This window comes from Homo sapiens, chromosome 2 (genome assembly GCF_000001405.40).
Source record: "Homo sapiens chromosome 2, GRCh38.p14 Primary Assembly".
NCBI classification, from domain to species: Eukaryota; Metazoa; Chordata; class Mammalia; order Primates; family Hominidae; genus Homo; species Homo sapiens.
In genome coordinates this window covers 101,296,747-101,312,894 of record NC_000002.12, presented here as the reverse complement: position 1 = coordinate 101,312,894, position 16,148 = coordinate 101,296,747, and the positions used below count along the sequence as shown (strand labels likewise).

General features: G+C 44.1%; 1 protein-coding gene, 2 long non-coding RNA genes and 1 other non-coding gene across 12 annotated transcripts in view, besides 5 other annotated features; 2 read left to right on the top strand and 2 right to left on the bottom strand.

Moving 5' to 3' along the window:
* Nucleotides 1-150: 150 nt before the first annotated feature.
* Nucleotides 151-4,127, bottom strand: LOC105373512 (uncharacterized). Of its 2 annotated transcripts, XR_923109.4 has the most exons (3): nt 3,900-4,127; nt 1,024-1,253; nt 151-380 (listed from the first exon to the last, which is right to left on the bottom strand). It is a non-coding gene; the product is annotated as an uncharacterized LOC105373512 (long non-coding RNA). The 2 variants fall into 2 exon arrangements; XR_007087159.1 differs by lacking the exon at nt 151-380 and having other exon boundaries at nt 905-1,253; nt 3,900-4,115.
* Nucleotides 3,361-3,445, bottom strand: MIR5696 (microRNA 5696). The gene has a single exon (NR_049881.1). It is a non-coding gene; the product is annotated as a microRNA 5696 (primary transcript).
* Nucleotides 4,021-4,470: a silencer, noted in NCBI's record as "silent region_11825". NCBI's record gives its function as "represses an Ori minimal core promoter by ATAC-STARR-seq in GM12878 lymphoblastoid cells {active_cell/tissue: GM12878}" and the evidence as "EXISTENCE:reporter gene assay evidence [ECO:0000049][PMID:35858748]".
* Nucleotides 4,194-16,148, top strand: part of RNF149 (ring finger protein 149) — a 37,483-nt gene continuing 25,528 nt past the window's right edge. For all 8 annotated transcript variants that reach the window (XR_001738712.3, XR_922908.3, XR_922909.4 and 5 more), the window contains exon 1: nt 4,194-4,766. Coding sequence is in view for 5 of the 8 variants with exons in the window: in XM_005263921.5 (XP_005263978.1) it covers nt 4,307-4,766 (460 nt within the window). In the remaining 3 variants the exon portion in view is untranslated. The remainder of the gene's footprint in view (nt 4,767-16,148) is intronic.
* Nucleotides 4,511-4,670: a silencer, noted in NCBI's record as "silent region_11824". NCBI's record gives its function as "represses an Ori minimal core promoter by ATAC-STARR-seq in GM12878 lymphoblastoid cells {active_cell/tissue: GM12878}" and the evidence as "EXISTENCE:reporter gene assay evidence [ECO:0000049][PMID:35858748]".
* Nucleotides 4,691-4,770: a silencer, noted in NCBI's record as "silent region_11823". NCBI's record gives its function as "represses an Ori minimal core promoter by ATAC-STARR-seq in GM12878 lymphoblastoid cells {active_cell/tissue: GM12878}" and the evidence as "EXISTENCE:reporter gene assay evidence [ECO:0000049][PMID:35858748]".
* Nucleotides 5,977-6,026: an enhancer, noted in NCBI's record as "active region_16301". NCBI's record gives its function as "activates an Ori minimal core promoter by ATAC-STARR-seq in GM12878 lymphoblastoid cells {active_cell/tissue: GM12878}" and the evidence as "EXISTENCE:reporter gene assay evidence [ECO:0000049][PMID:35858748]".
* Nucleotides 6,247-6,346: an enhancer, noted in NCBI's record as "active region_16300". NCBI's record gives its function as "activates an Ori minimal core promoter by ATAC-STARR-seq in GM12878 lymphoblastoid cells {active_cell/tissue: GM12878}" and the evidence as "EXISTENCE:reporter gene assay evidence [ECO:0000049][PMID:35858748]".
* On the top strand, nt 8,701-14,481 carry LOC124906052 (uncharacterized). Its single transcript, XR_007087161.1, has 2 exons — nt 8,701-9,102; nt 9,190-14,481. It is a non-coding gene; the product is annotated as an uncharacterized LOC124906052 (long non-coding RNA).

Genomic DNA, 16,148 nt, shown 5'->3' with positions numbered 1-16,148 from the left:
CCAGCCTGGGCAACACAGTGGAAACAACAACAAAATATACCACCACCCAAAAGAATACGGAACTGGAGAATTCTTGTACACCTGAGACTGTAGACTGAGAATCTTCCCCACTACGTGTATTACAAGGTCAATAAATAAGACAACAAGCCATTTTGATGAATACAAAATTCTTCAGTTGGAGGTTGTGAATGACATGTGCCATTCTATATCAGCCTTGCCCTCTACAGTGCTTCTTTATTGGAGGCTGTTTTTGCGTATTATGAAGGAAACCCTCGTTGACACTCATAGGTAATACTGTGTTCAGCATGAGGATGTAATGAGCCAAATACAGAATGTGGGAAATTATACAGGACAAATCATCAAATTTCTTCCTTTAAAAACTGAAAAGAAAAAAAACCTATAAATAAAGGAAACTTGAGAGACATTTCAACCAAATGCAATGTGTGAATCTTGATCCAAACAAACTAAATGTAAAATAACATTCAGGAGACAATCGGGAAATTCGTGTGCTGACTGGATATTCAATGATATTAAAGAACTGTGGTCACATTTTTTAATGTGATAATAATATTGTGCTTTCATGTTTTTACAGAGTCCCTATGCTTTAAAGGTATACATTAAAATGTTTACAAATAAAATTATATAATATCTTGGATTTCCTTTGTCAACCTTAACTCATGAGATTCAGAACATATAGTTAATTATAGAAAATTCTATAATTCAAGTGCAAAGCTTGAGGATGGCCATCCAGAAACACAGAGTCCAAATGAGCAGGGTCAGTGTTCCAAAGTAGGAAAGTTAAGATTTTACTTGTATAGGTAGAGACAGAGAAGTTTTAGCAGGATTACAATATTTTCCATATCAGACCAGTGCATATGTTATAGTTATTTGATAACTACAAATATTTGATTGCTACATTCCAAGGAGGATTTATTTATTAATTTACTTTACTACTCTGTGAAGAGGGGTAAAAATCTGTGGGGGTCCTATCTCTGGTGCTGCTTGGCCTTTCCAATTACTTACAGGAAAAAAGGCAGAAGTTGCAGCTGCATGCCATGTGACTCAGGTTGCACAGCGACATCGCTCTCAAGGCTCAGAATACTTTCAAGTTCCAACAGCTTTAAGTTTGAATTATTTAATTTCACACGTTCAAAGCAATCCATTGGAGGAGATAGGAAGTGGCCAGGTATATACTTGAAATCAAATTAGCTGTGAGTTGATCTGAAGCCATCTTCACAGGGTTAACAAGAATTCTGGATAGAAAAATAGTTATAGGTAAGCAGTAATCAGGCTGCACTTTGACCCACTTCCTTGTAACCACAAGTCATGTGGCAGTAGACACTGACTGTTTGTAGACCCATTCTTCCTATTGATAGGACTTCTAACATTAGCGTCAGAAGGCTTTTAAGAATTGTGTATGATGTTTTTGAGATCTCTAATTCCAGTAAAACAGATGATGCCAACCAATCTGAAGACCCCCACAGAGGAACAGAATCATCATGAGAATACAATTTCTTCAGCTCCCTATCCCATGATTTTACCCTGCACTCTTCAACCAATCAATGATCTCCACACTTTAGCCCACTCCAAAACTCTTACGAACCCTAGTCCCAAACTCCTCTGGGAGATGGATTTGAGGTTTCTCCCATCTCCTCGTTCAGCAGCTCTACAATTAAACCTCTCTCTGCTGCAATCTGGTGTATCAGTGTGTTGACTCACCATGTGTTTCAGGCAATAGACCTATTATGGTTACAGATCATTGTTGAATCTAAGTTACAAGTGCATAACGTTTCATTATACTGTTCTCTCTACTTTTGAAAGTATCTGAAAGTTTCTACAATAAAGTGATTAAAAGAAATGATAATGACAACTCTCGCCCCCTTTCTCTCCCTCCCCCCACCAAAGAGTGAGGGGGAAGGCTTGTTAGTTTTTCTTCTGGGGCAATACGGAAGGGAAAGGGAAATTAACGAGACTGGGTGGCCCCTGGCAGCCAGTGTAGGGAAAGAAGGTCCTGGAAGTTTGAGGTAGTGGTGGCAACTTTTGATCAGGGAAAACCAACTGAGGCCTGGAGCTAGTAATAAAAAATAAAGACCAAGGAACTGTGCTAAACTTAAGAGCTCAACAGCTGCAAGGTCTGTTCCTATTAGCCTGCCGGACTTTGCTCAACAAGCCTGTAACCAATCCTGAGTACTCAACTCTGGCACAGTAAAAACAAAAAACAAAAAAAACCTATTCTGCCTATTTCAGAAATTATCAATTACACATACATCACTGTGCTAGTTGAGGTAGGCTCATGAAAAGACCGAGGACACAATCCCAGCCCTTGCAAAGTTCACAACATTAAAAGAAGGCCCAAAACTTGGAAAGCAGTATTGCTGGTACAGCATGAATGTACAAACGTAATACATACAAGCAACATGGACAACTGGAGGAGCACCCAAGTTTGCCCATAGTTACCCAAGACGGGTTTCACCAAAAAAATAGCTTTTGAGTTAACACTTGAAGACTAACTTAGTGTTTGCTGGAACAAGAGCCAGGAGCAGGTCATGGGAGAAAGAAGTAAATGAATTTGCAAGACCTAACATGAAACTGCAAGGACACGTTTTTGGGAACTTCAGTATTTGTTTTGCTGGAGCATAAAGGGTGGCGGTGGAGGCGTTCCTAAAACCCGTTCTCAGCCTGCATAGACCACGATAATTTAAGCCTGAGGCCCTTTGGGCCTTTTAAAATTCAGTTTCCTGATGGGAAAGGAGAGGAGATCCATCTTCATGGAAAACTTACGGGTTGTGGGTCAGACTGCATTTTGGAGCACAGAGACAGCAACAAAGAGGAAATGGAGAGGGTTTAAGGACCAACAAAAAACACGTGGTGCAGGCCGGTCGCACAGCCTCACGCCTGTAATCCCAGCACTTTGGGAGGCTGTGGTCAGGAGCTCAAGACCAGCCTGGCCAACATGGCGAAACCCTGTTTCTACTAAAAATACAAAAATTAGCTGGGTGGTGCACGCCTGTAATCCCAGCTACTCCGGAGCTTGAGGCAGGAGAATCGCTTGAACCTGGGAGGCAGAAGTTGCAGTTAGCCAAGATCGCGCCACTGCACTCCAGCCTGGGCGACAGAGCAAGACTCCGTCAAAACAAAACAAAACAAAAAACACGTGATGCAGGCAGTAACAACCTACTTCCCACAGTTATAGACCCTTAACGCAGGAAGATGAGTCTATCAGAAATCAATGTTCTGAACTTCCTTTCTGAAAGCAGTAGGCTTTTGTACTCAATAGTAATTTTATATGGATTCTCTATCACTGGGTATTGATGTCCAAACAATAAATCCTTTTCCCTTTTTTATTGACATGAAACGTAAGTGCTCATTTAGGTAGTCTGACGCCTAAATGAGCACTTACATTGTATGTCATCAGTAGTAGGCATCAGACTACTTAAATGAGCACTTATGTTGTATGCTTATGCCTATTTCAAAATTATAGATTATGCATAAAATACTATAACAAAAAGGGCTGTTGTAAATATACTTAAGCTGTAAGGAATCAATTAGCATCATAATATTAGTAGCAAAAGGCAGTTGGATAATGTGTGCGTAGCTTTGGATTTTTTTTTTTTTTTTTCACAAAATGTATTTGGATTTTTTTTTTTTCTTAATTGACAGGGTTTCGCTTAGTCGCCCAGGCTGAAGTGGAGTGGTGATCTCGGCTCACTGCAGCCTCGACCTCCGGGGCTCAGGTGGTCCTCCCACCTCGACCTCCCGAGTGGGAACTCTAGTTGGGCGCCACCAGGCTTGGCTAATTAACTTTGAAACGACTTAGACAAGGCCTCTGCCATGTGCCTTGCACAATAAACTCTCCACAAACATCTGTTCAGCGATTTTACAGAACTGCGGTCCCACACCTGCTTTCAGGGAAGCTTCCCGTTTCTCTGGAGTTACTTCCCTTCACTTTGGGGGTGCTAGACGTCCTATTGCGCAAACTTGGCCCCTGGCCACAGGGTCCGCCGTGGCGCAAGCTGTGGTACAGGCTGCGCGCCCCGCCTCGGCCCACAGGCGCCTGAGATCCCGGGACGGATCGCGGTCCGAGGCTCCGCGGAGCTTACGCCTGCGCACAACGCGGCCGGTCGGACGGGGGCGGAGCCAGGGCCGATCACGCCCTTCGTCCACTCCGCCAGGTGCGCGTGCGCAGCGGCCCCGACCCCGCCTCAGTCTTCCAGGGCGGCGGTGGGTGTCCGCTTCTCTCTGCTCTTCGACTGCACCGCACTCGCGCGTGACCCTGACTCCCCCTAGTCAGCTCAGCGGTGCTGCCATGGCGTGGCGGCGGCGCGAAGCCAGCGTCGGGGCTCGCGGCGTGTTGGCTCTGGCGTTGCTCGCCCTGGCCCTGTGCGTGCCCGGGGCCCGGGGCCGGGCTCTCGAGTGGTTCTCGGCCGTGGTAAACATCGAGTACGTGGACCCGCAGACCAACCTGACGGTGTGGAGCGTCTCGGAGAGTGGCCGCTTCGGCGACAGCTCGCCCAAGGAGGGCGCGCATGGCCTGGTGGGCGTCCCGTGGGCGCCCGGCGGAGACCTCGAGGGCTGCGCGCCCGACACGCGCTTCTTCGTGCCCGAGCCCGGCGGCCGAGGGGCCGCGCCCTGGGTCGCCCTGGTGGCTCGTGGGGGCTGCACCTTCAAGGACAAGGTGCTGGTGGCGGCGCGGAGGAACGCCTCGGCCGTCGTCCTCTACAATGAGGAGCGCTACGGGAACATCACCTTGCCCATGTCTCACGCGGGTGAGCAGGCCGGGGCGCGAGGACGGGAGGGGGACTTCGCGGCAGCCGAGGCTGGGGTCTTCAGGGTTGGCCCTGAACCGCAGGCCGCGAAGCGGGCCTGGCACGGCTCTCAGGCCTCTGGCTGTTGGAACTTTCAGGGAAGCCCTCGTTTGCTCGGTGCGGCTCCCCGATCGCTGTTGGGAGGGAGGTAAGTCTGCGGACAAGATGTGATCTTCGCCTTTGATCGATGAGGTGAAGGGAGTACTAAAGACGTTAAAATCCACAGAAGGAGGCTTGTGGTTCTAACAGGTGAGGAAATCTCATGATTCCTAATCATGGGCCTCTTTTCCATTCACCGCTTCCCAAAGTCGGAGGGGTGAGTAGGAATCCAAACTCTTCCCCCAGCGCGCCCCACGATCGGTTGTCCCTTCACCAACATAAAGTGATGGCTCGTTGGCACTCTGGTTTCTTCACTTTCTTGAATCATGTCTGAATATTCTAAACTGAGTCAGAAAACCTGCATCTGACTGAGTCAGTAAGCCTTGACCTGTGCTTTCTGACTTGCTAAATTTAGGGTTATAACACTGGCTGTACTGCCAGTCAGATTTCCTGAGTCTTGAGTTACGATCAAAATTTTAAAATTACTGTATTCATTCAAGAAAAGACCTTGGGGCCGGGCACAGTGGCTCACGCCTGTAATCCCAGCACTTTGGGAGGCCGAGGTGGGAGGATCGTTTGAGGCCAGGAGTGTGAGACCAGCCTGGCCAACATAGACCCCATATCTGCAAAAATTTCTTAAAATCGCGTGGACGTGGTGGCGCCCGCCCGTAGTCTCAGGCACTCAGGAGCTGAGATGGGAGAATCACTTGAGCCCAGGAGATCGAGACTGTAGTGAGCTGTGATTGTGCCACTGCACTCCAGCCTGGGCGACAGAGCAAGACCTCAAGGAAAAAAGACAAAAAAGACCTTGCTATTTGCCAGGCAACCCTTCCTACACATACCATTCCCTAGGGCAGCAGGTTGTATCTTCAGGCAGTAGTCATAGTTTAAGTCTTATTTTGCAAAATGTCCTTGAAACTAAGTTCCGGGTAAAATAACGACCAGTACACAGAGAGTGAACATACTCTGTTATGTAAGATAACATCACTTTATGCATCACACAACTAGTTGACTCATTCTCAGCTTAATGTGGTTAGTTTTGGTTTTTGTTTTCAGTTTCCACTGCTACTAAGTCAGACATTCTTTTTCCTATACTTCTGTTTTTTGCTCTGTTTTGGCTTCCTGAATGCAAGTTCAGGTCCTAACAGTGAAGTGAGGACAGAAAAATAACCTTGGATTTGCCTATTTTGTGAAGTGATGGGAAAGGTAGTCAGTTGAGAGACTGTTGAGAAGAAGTAAGGACTGTTAGGACAACTCTTTCAAGAAGATTGAAGACTGAGGGAGATGCAGAGGAATGGGCAGAAACTGTGGGAGTATGGGTTGGTGGGACAGAGTTGGTAGGGTGTGTTTGAAATTGTGTGGGAGTGATCTGCGAGAGTCTTCCAGAAGGCAAGAAGGCTGAGTCCAGAACACTGGAGGCTTGGTCACAGGCGGTCCAAGGACAGTTCCTCAGTCGCAGCAGAAAGGAGGGCATGGGAATGAGAGCAGATGTCCATGTGGTGGCACTGGGCTAGGCACTACGTTCAGTGCGGTTATTCCAGTGATTACAAATCTATTGTCACGGTACCCAGGCTGCGTTTGCACAAGAATGTCATGAAAGGTCCTGTCAGATTTGACATAGCACTCCACATACATACTATCAACAGTGTTCCCTGCTTTAGTAGTTCTGTCAAAGAAAAAAGGTTAGTGTGCCATTGATTCTCTGATGCTGGGTTCTTATACACCCGTCTTAATGTAGACTTTTTTTCAAATAGCAGGTTCATCAGCCTACAGTTTTCCAAATCTACTTACTGCATTTTTTGATAATAGCATTAAGAAACTCCTTTTTGGGCTAATAGCACTTGTTGTAACCATGGGTCAGCAACCTTGCCTGCTTATGTTATTGACATGTAATTTATCCAGGGCCAGAAAAACAACCATGATGTTCATGAGAAATCCACTTCTTCGGAGCTTCTCTTCCCATTATCGGTGTCCATTCTAGCCTTTTTAGTGAGAGAATAATTCTGTTTGAGAGAAAAGACCAACGAAACAATTTAAAGATGTGTGAAGTGTCCAGTCTGCAGACACAGCCCACACAGCTCAGTGTTCTGCATAGAGTGACTCACTCTTCCCAACAGCCTTTAAGGAAGGTATTTGATCACGGAGTACATACAGATGAGGAAACTGATGCTCAAGGAGTTTAAAAGATTAGCCAGAGACGACACAGTAATCTAGTAATCTAGGGCCAGATAATTCTTTGTTCTCTCTCCCTCTCCCCCTCCTCTCCCTCTCCCTCCCTGTTCATACCCCCCTCACCCCATGTATGTGTCTGTGTGTGTTGGGGCGGGGGTTGCCCTGTGCATTTAGGATATCTTAGCTGCATCCCTGGCCTCCACCCACTAAATTCCACTTCTGACAATCAAAGATGTCTCCAGATATTGCCAAATGTTTAGAGAGTAGGGGAGAGGCCGACAAAATTATCCAACATTTTGAAGCACTGATTAAAGGGAAATTAGTTTGGTAGCAGTGTGATACATGGATTAAACAGAGCAAAAGCTGGAAACAGAATCCACTTAGACTGTGGGGCTAGTCTAAGTAGAAATATAAGGGCCAGTACTATAGTCGTGACTGCAGAAATGAAAAGACCCTTACAGAATTTGGCCACATTGGGTATAACTTTTTGAGAATGGAATTAATTCACAAGGTGACTGTGTACAGACAGCCTTGAAGACAGCTCAGACTTAGGTTTCTGTATTTAGTCAGTGTGACTAGAGCCAGGAAAGACCACTGATTCAGTGGTTCTCACTGTTCTGTGTAACACTGGTTTTCTGTGAAATAGGTAGAGGTGGCCTGCCTGTAAAATTGAATACTAGGCCGAGTGCGTTGGCTCATGCCTGTAATCCCCAGCACATCAGGAGGCCGATGCTGGTGGATCATGAGGTCAAGAAATTGAGACCAGCCTGGCCAACATGGTGAAACCCTGTCTCTACTAAAAATGCAAAAATTAGCCGGGCATGGTGGTGTGTGCCTGTAGTCCTAGTTACTCAGGAGGCTGAGGCAGGAGAATCGCTTGAACCTGGGAGGCAGAGGTTGCAGTAAGCCGAGATTGTGCCACTGTACTCTAGCCTGGGTGACAGAGTGAGACCCTGTCTCAAAAAAAAAAAAAAAAAAAAAAATACTAGTAGTCTCTTCCCAAGCCTCAGGAGAATGTCTCCAGTTTTTCTGAAACCTATTGCTCGTCTCTACTAGAATCCAGTACAAGATGCTTTTGGGATTTAAATCAGTATTTTATTGTGGCTCTAAAAAAAATGTGACTGGAATTTTTTTGTCTGAACAACTGTAAGGACTGTTGCTGTTGCCCAAAGTCAATTCTGTTTACTTTAGCAGACATATATTCAGCAGCCACTTTGGGTTAAGTATTATACCTCCTGAGGGATAGAAATGCCTAGGACACAGGCCTGCCCATGAGAGGTGTAGGCCTTGAGAGGTCTAGTAGGAGTGATACACAGAACTTTCCAGACAATATGGTTTGGACCTCATATAATTCCAGTATGCACAGGTGCTTAGGAAGCATAAAGAAAAGGGTTTGCTTTTGTTTTGTTTTGTTTTGTTTTTGAGGCAAGGTCTTGCTCTGTCACCCAGGCTGGAGTGCAGTGGCATGATCTTGGCTCATTGCAACCTCTGCATCCTGGACTCAAGTGATCCTCTCACCTCAGCCTCCCAGGTAGCTGGGACTACAAGTGCACGCCACCGTGTCTGGCTAATTTTTGTATTTTTTGTAAAGATGGGGTTTTGCCATGTTGGTCAGGCTGTTCTCGAACTCCTCAGCTCAAGTGATCTGCCTGTCTTGGCCTCCCACAGTGCTGGGAGTGTAAGCCACCACACCTGTCTAAGGAAAGGGATTTAATGCAGGTATTGCAAAAGTATCAAAGTAAGCTTGACCAAGGTAGGTGGAAATTAGTAAACATCAAAGCACTACAACAAAAGCTTTTACAGGATATTGGCCTTAAATTAACATACATATGTTTGTTAACAAATAGGCTGATCCTTTAACTGAAATCTTAGCGTGGTCTTTTAAGAATGGCACTTTCATTTTTTAACAGTTATTTACTGAGTGCCAAGTACTGGCAAGGCTTGGAGCTATATTTGGGAATCTGCCAGAGTTGGGTGGCAGGGGAGGTTACAAAGAGGTATAAGAAATCCCTCCTATTGATTAGAGGTATAAGAATAAAATTAAAAAAGAAATCCCTGAACTCTCCAGGGGAGGTTACAAAGAGGTATAAGAAATCCCTCCTATTGATAAGAGGTATAAGAATAAAATTAAAAAAGAAATCCCTGAACTCTCCAGGGGAGGTTACAAAGAGGTATGAGAAATCCCTCCTATTGATAAGAGGTATAAGAATAAAATTAAAAAAGAAATCCCTGACCTCTAGAGAGTTCACATGTTGAGAGGGGTGTGCAGTTTGTATTTGCAGAGCAGGTTAAATAGTCTTTTATGAATGGATAATAAATTCTTGATGCTCTGTAATGCTACACTCTCACAAATGATCGAAAAATTTAGATTTGAATTTAAAATGTATTTTGGGGTCGGGCGCAGTAGCTCACACCTGTAATCCCAGCACTTTGGTAGGCTGAGGCGGGTGGATCACGTGAGGTCAGGAGTTCGAGACTGGCCTGGCCAACATGGCAAAAACCCCGTCTCTACTAAAAATACAAAAAAAAAAAAAAAATGAGCCAACGTTGAGGCAAGTGTCTGTAGTCTCAGCTACTCGGGAGGCTGAGACATGAGAATAGTTTGAACCTGGGAGGCAGAGGTTGCAGTGAGCCGAGATTGCACCACTGCACTACAGCTCTGGGTGACAGAGCAAGACTCTGTCTCAAAAATAAAATAAAATGTATTTTGGTGCTATAGGAAGACAAATGGCACCTCATAGCCTCACAGAGGGTGGGATTAGCTAGGACACTTCCCAGAAAGGTTGAGGGTTTTTTGGTTGGTTTTGGGGTTTTGTTTTTGTTTTTTTTTTTTTTTTAGAGACAAGTGTCTCAGTCTGTTGCCCAGGCTGGAGTGCAATGGCACCATCATAGCTCGCTGTAGCTTTGCCCTTTAGGGATCAAGCAATCCTCCAACCTTAGCCTTCTGCGTAGCTGGGACTACAGGTGCATGCTGCCACACCTGGCTAATTTTTTAAATGTTTTGTAGAGATGGGGTCTCCGTGTGTTGCCCGGCTGCTTCTGAATTCCTGGACTCAAGCTGTCCTTCTGCCCCGGCCTCCCAGAATGCTGGGATTGAAGGTGTGAGCCACCACACCTGGCCGAGGTTGAGTTTTGAAGGACAAGTTAAAGTCGATGGGGAAGGTGTGTTGTGTGCGGTAGAGGTGAGTAGGCTATAGGACATTCTGAGTGGCAGAAGGTCTGAGATAAAGCAATGCATTTGGGAAAATTGCAAAAGAGTTCTTAACATTGTCAAGTTACATTAACATTGAATATAGTATTATATTCAAAAATACAAAATATTTTTGAGCAAGACAAATTGTCCAAAACATAATATTGCACTTACGTTGGGGTCCTCCTAACTCACTCTAACCAACCATAAAAACGTTTGTTTTGCATAATGGCTTCAGATTTCCATGATATTTACATTCATATTGATGAATTCACCAAATTCACCTGCTAGGGAATCTCTTTATTGGGAATTCTCCTTATTGGGCCATTTTAACTATAGCACTAAAAGATGAGCCAGTTTTTCAGATTGATTCATTCACGTAGCAGCCTTTTTATGGGCCGTCACTGCTTCATGCTAGGGCTACAAAAACAAATAAGAACAGGTAATACTTGTCTAGTGAGGGAGACCTATAAATAAATTATAGTAGGTGTGCAAAAAGAGGTATCTAAGAGGCAGATGGTGCTGAAAAGCCTTAAGTTGAGCTTACGCTGAACCTTAAAGATTTGACCAGAAATTCTCCAGAGAGGAGGGAAAAAAAGTAGAGTGTTGCAGTTAGTTAGTGGGGAAAAGAAAACCTGGAAGTTTATAGTATTCTCTTTCTGGAACTTTAAAATGATTTCTTGCTGCCTAAATTAGTTTTCTAGAACAGAAATCTAATCCACTACTTTAAATATTTCAGTAACTGCCATCTCCTTCAAGAGAATGTTGAAATCTACTTTAAATAGTTGTCTTGAGAGGAGAAATAGTACACTAGACTCATGTCATCCAGAAGAATTTTAAAGCTGTTGACCAAGTCAGAACTTTTTTCCTTTTATTATTATTTTGACAAGGTGATAAGAGGAACACAGAAATTTGAAAAAATGAAACAAAACAAACAAAAAAACAGAAGTAAACACTTTTTGGCACAGAAGAATGTTAAATTATGTTACGGGTAATTTGGTTTGTTAAAAATACTATCTTTGAGGTGGGACATCGTGATGCATACCTGTAATCCTAGCACTTTGGGAGGATGAGGCAGGCGGATTGCTTGAGACTAGCCTGGGCAACATGGTGAAACCCCGTCTCTACAAAAAATATAAAAATTAGCTGGGTGAGGTGGCACAGTCCCAGCTATTAGAGAGGCTGAGATGGGAGGTTCGCCTGAGCCTGGGAGGTCAAAGCTGCAGTGAGCTATAATCGTGCAGCTGCACTCCAGCCTGGGCAACAGAGTGAGACCCTGTCTCAAAAAAAAAAAAAATCTATATTTGTTATTTAGTATTGTTCAGCAAGTAGATTTATGATTATGTACTATGTGCAAAGATATTGTGCTAAGTGTAAAACAAAAAAAAAACAGAAATTGCCTTCAGGAAATTTTCCTGTCTTAATGCCAAGGTGTATAGGTTCTTTTGGGGAAGAGGGATTGTGCAAGGTGACATTTTTTAGTCAAGCAATATTGGTAACAACGTTAAGGCCTAAGGAAGGAAGAGATAACCTCTAAGGGCTTTTTCTCTGTCATCCCAAGTCTTTTGAGTTTCTGTGACGAAATCCAGTCATTTAGTTTGGAAATAAGCTGTGATTTGGTCTCATGTGCCAATTAAGGAAGGGTGGTGCACAATAACTTGAGCAGCTTAGCTCATTAGCATTGGCCAGAGAGGCGGCGATGCATCGGAGGCAAGAGTAGGGCCCGCAAGGTGCCCGTGCCTGGCACCCCTTGCAGTTGTGCACATACTGACCCCTGAACTAGCATGTTTTTACCCAACTGCCCTGCCTCCAGTTCATCCCCTGAAATGTTCTGGAAAAGCAAATCTCAGGGTATAAAGAGCCGTCGTTCTGGGTTTTGTTAATTTAAAATAATTCCCAGAAGCAATCTTGCTGCTATGATTATAATATAGCAAAATGTTTAGCCCTCATGCTAGGCAGGTTTTTTTGGTTTGCTTTAATAGAGACAGGGTTTTGCCATATTGCCCAGGCTGGTGTCAAACTCCCTAGGGTCAAGCGATCCACCTGCTTTGGCCTCCCAAAGTGCTGGGATTACAGGCATGACCCACTGCACCCAGCTAATGCTAGGAAGTTTTTAAAAAATAATAATTTCTTTTAACTCAGCAAGCTAAGATGAATTTCCTAGGTGAGAAATTTCAGATTGATATTGCAAGTGTTTTCTGTGCAGGGTGTCCTGATACTTGTTGCGGCAGTATCACTTCCCCCACCCCCAGCCTTGAGATTGTAGGTGTTAAAGAACCTTTTAAATCTCAGTTAATCTTCTGTCTCCCACTCATCTGTTCATTTATTCAACAAGGTACCTTTACATGTATCTTAGTCACCAGCCAAACTGGGCTGGTCACCATCCCAAATATATTTTGTTGTGGTCTACAGTCTAGAAACCCTCTTCCTTTGCTTTGTAAACTTTTTTGTCTCCTTTGAGATGTGGCTCCAGTGTGCCTGGGGAGATTTCCCTCCACCCCAAGCAAAATTGTCTCCTTACTTCTGTAGCTCTTTGTTACTCTGCTTTCTTATTGAAAAAGTGTTAGTCCAAAATAGAGTCATTCTCATTCCCATTTTGTAGCTGCAGAAGCATTCTCAGTGACCATGGATTTTTCCAACCTCCCAGGCAGTGGATAACAGTGATTTTTGCACCCAGGTCTGTCTGGCTGTGAAGCCTGTGATCCTATGAAGGCGGATGGGGAAGGGACGTTACCTCGGAGCTGGGTCTTCAGACTTTAGAACTGGCTTTTTCAGGTGGTGTGTGACATTGAGCAACTCCCTGGGATTTCTGAACACTCAGCTGTAGAATGATAGTGTGGCCTTTGCCTGCTTCAAGTGAGACATAAATGTGAACGTGTTCTTCCCCATTACCACACAAAGAACGTGGTATCAGTACCAGAAATTGATTCAACTGTCATCATAGCATAGTTTAGTTTTCTGTGTAAAAGCTTTTAACTGAGGTGGGAACATGAGACTTCGTTGTACTATTCTTTCTACTTTGTATGTGCTTGAAATTTTCCACAAAAGCAAGTTTACAAAAAAGACTTCTAGCTTGCAAAGTGCCATATAGTTATATCAGATATAACCATCATAATTCTTTCTATATACATCCTTCTTAACTACTAGATGTTTAGAAAATGCCTTCCTCCTTTGTTGTGTCCCCTTGTGATGACATGGTTGGTTGTGTGGGTGCCTCGGAAATACAGTTCTTGCCAAGGGACCCTTTTAGACAGGCAGGTCATCAGATGATAGGATCAGCTTCCACACAGGGGCTACCTTAGAAGGGTGCCCTTCTGGTGTTTCAGTAACTGAATCCCAAAGCTTGAGATCCACAGTGGATTTGCTGCAGATGAAATTTCTCTCCACAATAAAATAGTGTTAGAGTGTGGTTTTAGTGTAATGTCAGGGAACGTTCTTTATATACCCTTTCACATTATTTTTTGTTTGGTTTTGAGACAGAGTCTCGCCCTGTCGCCCAGACTGGAGTGCAGTGGCGCGATTTTGGCTCACTGCAACCTCCAACTCTGGGTTCGAGCAATTCTTCTGCCTCAGCCTCCAGAGTAGCTGGGATTACAGGCATGAGCTACCATGCCCAGCTAATTTTTTGCATGTGTAATATTAGTAGAGACGGGGTTTCACCATGTTGGCCAGGCTGGTCTCAAATTCCTAACCTCAAGTGATCTACATACCTTGGCCTCACAAAGTGCTGGGATTATAGGCGTAAGCCACCATGCCTAAAAGTTATTTTTTGAATAGCTAATATGTGCACATGGTACAGAATTCTTACTGTGCAAATAAGACCCCCCAGCCTGTCCTGCATCCCGAAGCGCCTCTCCCCAGAAACAGTCATGGTCTCCAGTCTCTGGGGTAACCTTCCAGAGGGTAGTATGTGTTGATGGGAGCATATAGGTCTTTGGGTTTTCGTTGTTTTTTGTTTTTTGGGGTTTTTTTGTTTGTTTGTTTTTAAGGACTGCATGCTGTCCACACAGTTTACATGTTGTGTGTTTTCTATCTTGAGTACTGTCAGTACTTACAGAGCTGCTACTTCAGCCTTCATACACATACTGTAATTTATATACCTTTTTTCCTTTCGATGGACGTTTAGATTGTGATAGCAAAAACTTAGGAAAGAACATTGGCAATAAATCTTTTTTATTTATTTAATTTTATTATTATTATTTTTGAGACAGTGTCTTGCTCTGTTGCCCAGGCTGGAGTACAGTAGCGTGATCTCAGCTCACTGCAACCTCTGCCTCCTAGGCTCAGGTGATCCTCCTGCCTCAGCCTCCCTAGTAGCTGGGACTACAGACATGCACCACCACACCCAGCTAATTTTTGTATTTCTTTTAAGTAGAGATAGGGTTTTGCCATGATGGCCAAGCTGGTCTCAAACTCCTGATCCATCCGCCTTGGCCCCCCAAAGTGTTGGGATTACAGGTGTGAGCCACCGTGCCTGGCCAACAGTAAATCTTTATAGATACCTCATTGGTTACATCTGTGCAATTAAGTTCCTGGGCACAGAATTGCTGGGCCAAAGAGATATGGACTTTTAGAATTTTTTGAATGCCATTGCCTTTCGTAGAAGAGTGTAATAATTTATTCACCCCCTTGTCCAGCAGTGTGCGAGAGTGCTCATTCGTGCCTATTTTTGCCAGTATAGTGTATCAGACTTTTTGATCTTTGCCAATCTTACAGGAAATGTTTTCATTTGTTACCAAGGAAGACTTTTCATGTGTTTAAAATCCCTTTTGCAGGGAGAGAGTGACTGCCAGTGGACACAGGGTTTCTTTCTAGGGTAATGAAAACATTATGGAATTAGATAGTGATGATGGTTGTACATACAACCTTATGAATCCACTAAAAGCCACTGACTTGTACACTTAAAAAGGGTGAATTTTGTGGTATGTGGATTATATCTCAATAAAGCTGCTATTTAAAATATCCATTTGGTCAGGCATAGAGTGGCTCATGCCAGAATCCCAACACTGTGAGAGGTCGAGGTGGGAGAATTGCTTGAGGTCAGGAGTTCAAGGCTAGCCTGGGCAACATAGTGAGACCCCATCTCTAAAAAAAAATGAAAAAAATTAGCCAGGTGTAGTGGTGTGTGCCTGTGGTCCCAGCTGCTCAGGAAGCTGAGGCAGGAGGATCACTTGAGCCCAGGAGTTTGAGGCTTCATTGAGCTAGGATCCCACCACTGTACTCCATCCTGGGTGACAGAGCGAGACCCCATCTCTTTAAAAATAAAAACAAAACAAAAAACCGTTTTTATTTTCTTTTCTGCAAATCAACTTCATTTTCTTTGTTTTTCTATTACTCTTATAGGAAATTAGTTTTTTGTCTTTGTTATGTTACATCTATTTTTTCCAAGTTGACCATTTGCCCTTTTTGTATTTTGTTTGAGATGGAGTCTTGCTCTTGTCGCCCAGGCTGGAGTGCAGTGGCGCAATCTTGGCTCACCGCAGCCTCTGCCTCCTGGGTTCAAGCAATTCTCCTATCTCTGTCTCCTGAGTAGCTAGGATTACAGACGCCCACCACCACACCTAGCTAATTTTTGTAATTTCAGTAGAGACGGGGTTTCGCCATTTTGGCCAGGCTGGTCTCAAACTCCTGACCTCAGGTGATCCGCCCGCCTCAGCCTCCCAAAGTGCTGGGATTACAGGCGTGAGGCACCGTGCCCGGCCAACCATTTACTCTTTTGAACTTGGTTTTGCTTTTACTCATGGTGAAAATTTTCATTTTTATGTAATTAAAAAAAAATTTTTTTTAAGAACCTCTGAGGTAGTTTTTATACTTGGAGAAGTTTTTCGTCAATATGTATTTTTTGATTCCCATGTTTCTTCTAGCCATTGGATGTTTCCTCT